A 10,601-nucleotide genomic window follows, 5' to 3' on the forward strand; every position below is an offset into this window, starting at 1 on the left:
TTATTACTAAATCCATATGAAGTACATTAAGTCAAGTGATCTATATTGGCTGTTGTTAAGACAGCATGTTTTAGGCTTTCTCTCAAAAACATGTATACAGGCATGAGAACATAGTGTGCACACAGGAGAGGCCTGCAGGCTGGCCTTAAGGCCTGGCTCGTCATCTGCCACATTTCAGGGGCCCCAGGAAAGAGTCAAACCTGAGAGGTGGCTCCCACCGTGGGCTTCAGCTCTGTTGCCTCCCTGGCCTTGTAGGAGCCTTCTTTCCATGGCATGGCTGGCTGCTGCTGCCCAAGGCTCTCCACTCCTGCACACAGAGCAGGGACGGCGGTGCCTGGTGACATGCGGCACATGTTCACCCACATTTGCCATGAAGAGGGAATGCATCTTTGGATACTTGGCCCCAACTTCACCCATGCTAAAGCAACACGTGCAAATCAGGGAAAGATCCCGCTTTGGGGTTATTGGCAAGTGTCAATGCACTTGGCAATGCCTGCCTGGAAATATTAGTTTTCAAGCTTGTTTTGGAATGTTCCAGGTTGCTCTCAAGGCCTGTATGGGGGCCACTCCCCCGAGCATGGCGGCTGGGCAGGATGTGCTGGCACAGTGTCTACCTGCGGAGAGACCTTCTTTCCACCACTCCCACTGTGGGCTGCTCCTTGCTACCCTGTCAGCACCCGATGCTTGGCACCCTGCCCGCTGTAGACGTGGTGACTGACCAGGTGACCCAGGGTCTCTTGCTCAAATGCTCCTGCTGTGCTTTCCCGACTCCACACCAGTGGTTCTAGTGTGGTCTGTGGATCCACCACGCCAGCACCAAGAGCTTGTCAGACATGCAATCTCAGGCCCCACCCCAGACCCTCGGAGTCTGAACCTGCATCTTAACATCACCCTGTGAGGAACACCAGGGACACCCGAGGCCAGCACACTGTAGCCACCTATTTTCATGTGGCCCACAAGTAAAGAATGATCTTTACATTTTTTTAATGATTGGGGAAAAAAGGAAGAAGAATATTTTGTGTTATGTGAGAATTATACAAAATGTGAACTGCAATGTCCATAACTAAAGTTCGATTGGAATACAGCCACACTCATGCCTTTACTTGTCTCTTGGCTGCTTGCACGCTCCAACAACAGAGCTGAGTAGCTGCAACAGACACCATAGGCAGCCACACAGCTGGAGAGACTTACTATTGGGTCCTTTACAGGAGAAGTTTCCCAACCCCTGACCAATAGGCTTAGATCCCACAAACTGACCTCACCTCACTTCCCATGATATCCCAACACTTGTTCTGGGGAAAATTAAAAACAGAGCCTCACTCTTTGGCTGGGCGTGGTGGCTCATGCCTATAATCTCAACACTTTGGGAGGTCGAGGCAGGCAGATCACCTGAGGTCAGGAGTTTGAGACCAGCCTGACCAACATGGTGAAACCCCGTCTCTACTAAAAATACAAAAATTACCCCGGCATGGTAGCTCCTGTAGTCTCAGCTACTCAGGAGGCTGAGGCCAGAGAATCACTTGAACCTGGGAGGTGGAGATTGCAGTGAGCCGAGTACTCCACCGTACTCCAGCCTGGGCGACAAGAGTGAAACTCCATCTCAAAATAAATAAATAAATAAAGCCTCGCTCTTTGACCTCCTCCCCACATCTGGCAACTTGTGTGACTTCCAACCATTTTCTTTGCTCTAACCCTGCACCCTCTCCCTGGACAGTGCAGAACCAGAACTGAAGCCCGTACCAGTTTCTCCCACCTGCCTCAATTTCTTTTCTATGCTCTGTTTGCAGCCTGGCCATCAGGACCACACAGTTCAGCGTGCCACTGGACTCTGTTCCAGTTGTGTTCTTTTTTGTTTGTTTGTTTGTTTTTTGAGACAGAGTCTTGCTCTGTCACCCAGGCTGGCGTGCAGTGGTGCAATCTCGGTTCACTGGAATCTCTGCCTCCTGGGTTCAAGCGATTCTCCTGCCTCAGCCTCCTAAGAAGCTGGGATTACAGGCATGTGCCACCACACCCAGCTAATTTTTGTATTTTTAGTAAAGATGGGGTTTCGCCATGTGGGCCAGGCTGGTCTCGAACACCTGACCTCAAGTGATCCTCCTGTCTCGGCCTCCCAAAGTGCTGGGATTACAGGCATGAGCCACTGTGCCCGGCCTCTGTTCCGGTTTTATCTGTTCTTCAGGATTGCTAATCCGAGTGTCTGGACTAGGCCGTCTTTGTAACCCCTGGCAGGTAAAGGAGCCCAACACAGAGAAGGCACTCAATAACTTGTTTACTGAGTAAACGACAGAGTTAATGGGCCATGTGTTGCCTGTTTCTGGGTGATCTTCCATGGGGCCCTGCACTGCCCAATGGAATGATTCACTGATGCATTGATTTTCCTTCAGAGATCCAAAATGCCTTGTCTATCTCATTTACCCATTTATTCTCCACAAATATATTAAGCATTGATGCTGTGCTGGTTTCTAGGGTTATGAAGATGAATTAAGATAGAAACCACCCCTTTATCATCCTGCAAATCCGTAGGAGAGGGAGGCATGTTGTAAATAGCCCTGATGCTGGCTCCTTTCTGCCTCTGCAAAGATCTCTCCCCCTGCCAAGAATCTCTGGGAGTCCACGTGAGGTTCCTAACACATCCACTTCCAAGCTAAGGGATGGGGCAGGTGTGGTCCTGTTGTCACTCTGCTAGGCTTGTGTTCCTGGCACCAAGGTCCCTGCTATGGCTCAGGGCCAGTAAGAGCCATTTTGCAGGGCACAGCAGGGGCCTTGCCAGTCCTCGTGATTCAGCGGCTTTCTCCTGGAGGCTACTTGTGCCTGGGCTGCCTGATGGCCTGGAGTGGTGTGTTAGCCGGATGTGGTGGTGCCTGTATACACCCCATCATAGTACACCGCATTGGAGAAGCGCTGTTGGGGTCCCAGTATGTCACAGAGTTCAGTGATTGTTATGGGCTGAATTATGCTGCCTTAAAATTCATATGTGGCAGTCCTAGCCCCCAGGACCTCAGAATGTGACCGTATTTCGTTAGAGGGTCATTGCAGTTACAATCATCTCAGCTAGGAAGAAGTCATCCCAGAGTAGGGTGGGCCCAAATCCAATATGACTAGGGTCCTATCCCCATCTGTCTCTGTGTCTAGAAATTTGGATACAGAGACACACCGGGATAGAAGAAAGCGGATGTAAAGAGACCCAGGGAGAAGACAGTTGTCACATGCCAAGGAAAGCCCTGGAACAGACCCTCCCTCACAGCCTCAGAAGGAACCAACCCTGGAGACACCTTAAAGTTGGACTTGAGTCTCCAGAACTGCGAGATAATGAATGGATGTTGTTCAAGTCACCCAGTTTGCAGTACTCTGTGGCAGCCTCAGCAGACTAATCCAACCACACCGCTCACTCGGTTGCACATGTGGTCCTCTTCCTCCAGGATACTGGTTCAGGAGGAGCCCTTGAGGGCTCAGTTAACTTCCAGGATGCTGTTTTCAGAATCTCTCCTTCCTATTGACAACCAAAATGCTGTCAGTGGGTCCAGGTCATCCTGCCTGGCTCCTTTCCCCTTAAAGGAAATTCTCTTCCTATAGGCTCTTTGGCCTCTCCTCCACCCAAAGGCAGCTATAGGAAGTCCACCCATTTTCCCTGTCAGTGGAGGTTAGGCTCATCCCCAGCAGAGGAAACAGCATGAGCCTTATCCCAGGGTGGCCCTTAGCACCCGAGGCAGAGACAGCCCCGCCCTTTCCCAAGACTGCTCCTTCATGTCAGGTCCTGGAAAACAGTCAGCTGAGGGGACAGCTCAGGCTGACAGCCCTGCTGCAGCACACAAAGGACAAGCACAGTCAGAATGGAAGCATTCTCAGGGTGCAGCAGGGCACCGAGGAGGACTTGACAGCAAAGCCTCATGGAGGAGGTGGCAGACAAGCAGGAAGGGATTTGCAAGGCATTTAGGAGGAGGCAAGAGCTGAGGCATAATGTGCAGGAAAACAGCCCTTGTGGGTTTAAGAGCAGCTCAAGGAGCAGTGAGAGGCGTTACAGAGGCTTTAAAGAAGGGGGTTGGGGAAGACTGAATGGGGCCAGGAAGGCAGCAGGGCCAGATGGGGAAGGGCCGCTGGGGCCATGCTAAGCAGAGTCTACTCTGCCTTCTCTGGGAACAGAGACCATGACAGGGCTTGAAGAGGATGCCACATGACCCGAGAGGACTTCAGAAGGAGTGGCCAGGCAGAAACAGCAGTTATCTGAAAGTGCACAGTATTGGCTTATGTTGCCAACCTCTTCCCTTTGCTTGGAATGTGTTTCTCCTCCTCAAACACCTGCTTGAGCACACAGGCCACACACACGCGTGCTGTCTCTCTCTCTCCTCACTGTTAGCCTGACAAACACTTTCTAGCATGAGGGCAAGAGCCACACCCTGGGAAAACCTCTTTGAGGTCTAGATTGAGCAGGGAAGTAGCTTCGTCTCTCTGAGTTTTAGCCTTCCCTCCTGTCAAATGGCATAATTGTCCCTGCTGTCTTGCCTACAGCATGTTGTAAAGATAAAATCAGGTCAGAATACCAGATAACACCTTCTAAACTGCATTGAATGTAAGGAGGGTTAGTGACCATGGTGATGATGATAATGGTGAAGACGATGGTGAGTTGATGGTAATGGTGGTGGTGATGATGGTGGTGATGGTGATGATGGTGAATGGTGATGATGGTGATGGTTGTGCTGATCATGATGGTGATGGTGGTCATGGTCATGGTAGTGGTGATGATGGTGATGGTGGCAATGGTGAGGTGATTATGTGAAGGAGTGTCTTTTCCTTCATGCAAGGTGGTTTAGAAACCCTATGGTTTCTATCCTCTTTCATCTCTTGGAGGAGCCACTTAATTTGTCATCAAAAGTGGGACAGTTTGTGAGTGCTATTAACATTTACACCAGGACAATGATGCATGAAAGGCCCTCAATTGCATTTTAGACTTCACCACTATTGCAACAAACTGGTTGAAGTAGACCTTCAAAAAGTCTACAGACATCAGGTACAGTTCGGCTGAGTGATCAAAATTTTGGCCTGGTTTTAAATTTGGGTTTAAATTGCTGAGAAAGGACTTGGCCAGGGACTTGGGAAGTCAGTGTACCCTACCTTCCAGGCTATTAGAACTTTTGGCTGAACAACGATCATTTGCTGTCCTTAATACTACAGCCAAGAGGAGACTGGTTGGCAAGTGTGGACAGGGAAGCTCTATTTCCCAGATAGTCATGCCCATCACAGCACAGGGGCCCACTGCTTACAAACCCTCTGTCTGTCTTTCACTTGGAACTTGTGCCTCACACTTGGAGGAACAGCGGGGACTTCTGGGGAACCTCCAACCTGCTGGGCCCTTGAGCAGCTGAAGGAGGTCCTCTACTCAGTGGAATTGAGGCAGTGAGCAGGACAGGCCTTCTGCCTTGGTGGGTGAGGCCGAATTAAGCTACTTCTTGCAGCCCCATGCAACCAAGTCATGATATGCTCCCCAGTGACATACTCAATTTAGCCAGCGGAAATGGAAACTCTGTGCTCATTCTTGTGAATTAAAAAGTGATGAGCAGTCTCCTTTCTTAGTCATATCCCTTTACCTCTGTCCTAGAAATCTGAGACTTATGACAAGGAAAATGCTGTCACTCAGTCTGCAAAGGCAGCCTAAGACAAATTTTAAAGACTGCAAGTTCTGACTCAGCAACTTTTTTTCCCAAGGGCATTGAATCTTTTAAACGTTATCCCTTATAGACTGAATATTTTGGTTTATTGGAACAAAAGTGAACTTCTGGAATATTCCATACAATCTGTTTTCTAAAACAGGTTCAATCCAAGGAGGAAAATTAAAAACAAATGTCTGATGGCCCGAGGTGAGCCATTAGTTAGGACAAACAAACATCTTGCAAAAATGACAGATGGGAACAGGAGGAGTGTTTCTCCTCCATCTGAGTTGACTCTCCCTGAATGGATATTCAAAGAAATTGACAGGAATCCTGTCTTAAGACAAGCCCACTGGGCTCTATGTCAGAAATTTCACCAATCACTTCCCAAGCTTCCCACTCCATTGCTGAAGCCTGGGCCACAGCATTTACAGTTAAGAATGTTATAAAAATCAAACCAAGCAGTTCCTGCCAACCCCCAGGAGGAAAGTTGCAGAGAATGAATAATTCTGCAAAGATCCTGGGCATCTGTGTGCATTAACCATAAAGGCGATTAAAGTTGGAGCAGCAAGGAAAGGGTGTACAAGACTTTGCCCCATAGAAAATGCTGGCTCTCTCCCCTTCGGCCTGTTTGGGAGGTGCCACAACGTGGGTCCCCACCCACTGTCTCAGCCTGGGGGACTGCCTTCTCTCTCTTTTGATCACCAGAAAGGAACAAGCAAATTCCTTCTCAGCTATTTCACCAGGACTGCAGCTGTCATTGCCTCAGGCTATTATAACATCCGTACAGCACCCCAGGAGGCTGAGATGAGGCTTGCAGCCAGCAAACAGTGTCAGAGAAGAAGGAGCCCTGTCGCCTGTGCCAATCTGACCCGGATGCAGGTGAAGCTAGGGTATTGATCTGCTTCTGGCCTCAGGTAGGAGCACCAGTGACATTCAGGGACCTCTTTTCTGCTCTGCCTCTCATTTTGCACCCCTCCTCCCCCACCAGTGATCAACATTCTAAGTATTGCCATCTTTCAGGAGGCAGCCCACACTGACCTTTGGCATCAGCGTATCTTCATGACGTCATGCCTGTTACCTAAGCAACCTGAACCTCAGTTTTCTCATCTGACAAATGAAAATGATCCTTTCTTGTTGCAAGAATAAAATCACTCAGGTTATATCACAAGAGGCAAGAAAACTCTTGAAAATAAGGATGGCATGGCCTTGACATCAGGCCATTTTGCCAAGAGAACAAATCACGTTAGGCTCTGAGCAATGGTCCTAGGGTCCTAGGAGCCCAATGGCTGAACTACCAGCCAAGAGGTCTGGAGAATGTCTTCTCACGAGGGGATGTCTACTCATCCTGACCCTGTTGCTCTATCATCAACATGACTCAGCTAATTCCTCTCTCTCTCTCTGTGTGTGTCTGTGTGTGTATGTGTGTGTGTGTGTGTCTGTCTGTCCTTCTCCATCTGCTCCCAGTTTCAGTTTGCAATCTTGATAAAAACCACTCTAATTGGAGTGAACAATCGCCACTGCTTCTGTTTGGCAGAGCTTTTTTGTGTGAAGCTACATAATAGGGTGTCAGCCAGCCTATAGGTTATCTGTTCTTGAACCATGTACCTGTCTCTGGTCTAATCAGACTGTAAGGGTCAGGGTCACAAACATAACAGAATGATTGCCTAGGCACAGGCGGTATTTCCTGCCACTCCCTCGGCAAGGAAGCAGGCATGTGGGCTGTGCTTCCCAAAGTTGTCCAGTCATGAGAATTACTGGGGCTCTGTGACACAAATGACCAGGTTCCTGCCCTGGCTAGGATTCTAGCCAGGTCTGGGGTGGTCAGAAAAGTCTTAATGTCCAGCAAATACCCTTCAGAGATTCTTAGCATCCCCCACACAGGGCTGGCTTCATAGATATGAGACTGGGGTCATTGCTCAGGGTCCCACCCAGAAGAGCCCCTGCTTGCCGTTTGACACTCTGGGATCACTGTCTTAAACTTCTAGATCATTTTCTCTCTGAATTAGTGTTTTGTGAGTAAAGTCTGATGGGACAATGGAGTGCGGTTCAGGGTCCTGGGCCTGCTCGCTTCCGGTGTCACCATTTCTCTTCTCATGAGGGATGGGTTCCGGGCTCCCAGCTCACTGCCCCTTGGTATCCTCGGCCCTGTCCATTTCCCTTCCCTGCCCTGAAGCCCTATATTCCCTTCCCTGGAACAGGAGTGGTGTGCCTCAGTGGGAGAGGACTTTGTTCTGTTGTCACTCTCCACCCCTGGAGGGGGCCTAGGCGTGGACATAGGGAGGGACTCAGGGTCATCTCTCTTCCAGACCAGAAGCACCACATTGCAGTAGGAAGGTGACTTGGAGGACACTTCTCATCCACCATGATCCAGGATCCAGGTACCAAGTGCACCCCAGCACATCTCCAGAAAATTTTCATCCTGCAAAAAGGAAACTTTATACCCACTGAGCGACAATTTCCTTTTCTCCTTTCCCCACAGCCCCTGACAACCACCTTTCTGCTTTCCGTATCTATATACTTGACTACTACTACTTTATTTATTTATGTATTGTTTTGGGGGTTTTCTGAGACAGAGTCTCACTCTGTTTCCCCAACTGGAGCGCAGCGATGCGATCATAGCTCACTGTGGCCTCTACTGCCCAGGCTCAAGTGATCCTCCTAGCTCAACTTCCTGAGTAGCTGGGACTACAGGCACATGCCACCATGCCTGGCTAATATTTTTTTTTTCCATTTTTTATAGAGGCAGGGATCTCACTTTGTTGCTCAAGCTGGTCTCAGACTCCTGGGCTTAAGCAATCCTCCTGTCTCGGCCTCCCAAAGTGCTGGGATAACAGGCAGGCGCCATGCGCCCTGCCTTGGCTACTTTAGATAGCGCATGTAAGTGGAATCATACAGTGTGTGTCTTTTTGTGGCTGGCTCATTTCACTCAGCTTAGTGTCCTCAAGGTCTATCCATGTGGCAGCATGTCACAAGATTTCCCTCCTTTTTAGGCTGCAGAGTATTCCGTTGTGTGTACTTAAGACATCTTGCTCAGCCATTCATCTGCTGATGGGCCCTTGGACTGCTGCTAAAGTCTGACTATTATAAATAATGCTGCTGTGAACATAGGTGTACAAACATCTCTCTCAGACTCTGCTTCCAATGCTTTCAGACGTATACCCAGAAGTGGGATTGCTGCATTTGGTGGATCCATGCTGAATTTTTTAGGAACCTCCATATTATTTTCCATGGTGGTGGCACATTGTACTGTCCCACCAAGAGTGCACAAAGATTCAAATTTATCCACATCTTTGCCAACACTTGTTATTTTCAGGTTTTTGTTTTGTTTTATTATAGCCATCCTAGTGGGTGGGGTAGTGTCTCATTGAGGTTTTGATTTGCATTTCTCTGATGATGAGTGGCACTGAGCATCTTTTCATGTGCTTATTGGCCTTCTGTATATCCTCTTTGGACAGCCACGGTTTTAAATATAGAAACTTGGCATAAAAAAGACAAACCCTCACCTTTCCAGGGCACACATCAATAGGTGTCAGAAGATGATCAATACCCCACAAAACAACAGGGTTGGCGGGACGATTTTATGCCCAAGGCCAAGAAACACTCCTCTAAGGAGTAGGTGTCCATGGGGAGGCCCGGAGGTGGTGAGAGGGAGCTGTGTGGATTGAGAATTTGGGAGGAGCTGTTCAGGCAGAGGCCAGCCCAAGTGCTAAGGCCCTGAAGGAGGAGCTGATCTGTGTGTCTGAGGACCGAGGACGACAAGGACTGGGGAGGAGGTCAGGAGGCAGAGGGGTAGGGACCGTCTCATGGGCTCTTAGGTTCTATGGAAGACTTTGGCTCTAACTGAGCTACAGGGGGATGTAGAAAGAGCTTATCACAATGCCTAGTAGAAAAAGGTGCTGAACGAATATTAGTGATTATTATTAATGTTGGCCCATTTAACTCATTTAAGAGAAAATGTCTCGGCTGCTTTAGTTTTACAGACAATTTAAGGAAGGAGTCTGAGAAGAAAACATAAAAACCCCCTATCCTTCTGGGAGCTGGGGTTGAGGGCCTTGGAAGCAGCACCCTCATCCCTTCGGAGGTGGCTGATTTGGAGTTTATTCTGCATCTCTGTTATGTGGCTGCCTCCTGGAATTCTTTAAACTCTTCAGGATTCCAGGGGCCTGGCAATGGTTATGCCAGGACACATTCTGGGCCGGTGAGTGAGCGATCGAGCCTTGCCTGTGAGATTTTCTTGGCCGCTTCAGCTTCTATTTACATCCACAACCTGGATTGGGAAACTCAGGTTCAGCCCAAGTCTTGGAATATTTCTGTGCCTTCAGAATAGTGCAGACAGGCTGATATTCCCCACCCCACAGGGGTTTCCTTGGGATGTTGGAGCCATCCCATAGAGCAGGCTGGCACCTTTTGGCAGGACAGAGCATAGTTCTTTCTCTAGAGATGAGGTCCTTCATGAAGCGAGGCCCAGTCAGCCTTGCCAACTGGTGGGGAGCTGACTCCACTGCAGCCAATGGCACCAGGCACATGGGAAGGAAGAGCTAGTCTGGAATTGGAAAGATCCATCATCCACACCAGAGAAGGGAAGGGAGGAGGAAAGACTGTGTATACAGGCAGGGCCTTCTCTTCTCACCAGCCGTACATTGAGGAAGCTCCCTCTTTTCTCTAAGAGCATATGGGGTCATTAGCATGACTCCTAGCATCCTACAGAAGACCTTGCCTGTTGGGAGTTCCTGAAGCCGTGAGATCTGAGGGGAAGGCTGCCTGTCAGTCCTACTGTGAGTGGGTAGAAGCCACGGAGCACAGGCCAGTGAAAGGAGGGCTGTGCTTTGTGTGATCAGTGTCATCAACATGGAGCCGGGGCGAGATGCATGGTAGATTCCACAGGATGGAGAAAGACGCAGGGGATGTGGTCTCCCATCAGGGAGTGACAATCTGTAGGGCTAAGTGGATCATGGG

The 10,601-nt window shown here is 49.2% G+C and overlaps 1 annotated feature.

The window, feature by feature from the left end:
* Positions 6,857-7,043: a silencer, noted in NCBI's record as "fragment chr2:236080141-236080327 (GRCh37/hg19 assembly coordinates)". NCBI's record gives its function as "represses an EF-1alpha promoter that drives an FKBP-Casp9 reporter gene in an ReSE screen in both phorbol 12-myristate 13-acetate-treated (for megakaryocytic differentiation) and untreated K562 erythroleukemia cells {active_cell/tissue: K562 | K562(+PMA)}" and the evidence as "EXISTENCE:reporter gene assay evidence [ECO:0000049][PMID:32094911]".

This window comes from Homo sapiens, chromosome 2, assembly GCF_000001405.40.
Source record: "Homo sapiens chromosome 2, GRCh38.p14 Primary Assembly".
NCBI lineage: Eukaryota > Metazoa > Chordata > Mammalia > Primates > Hominidae > Homo > Homo sapiens.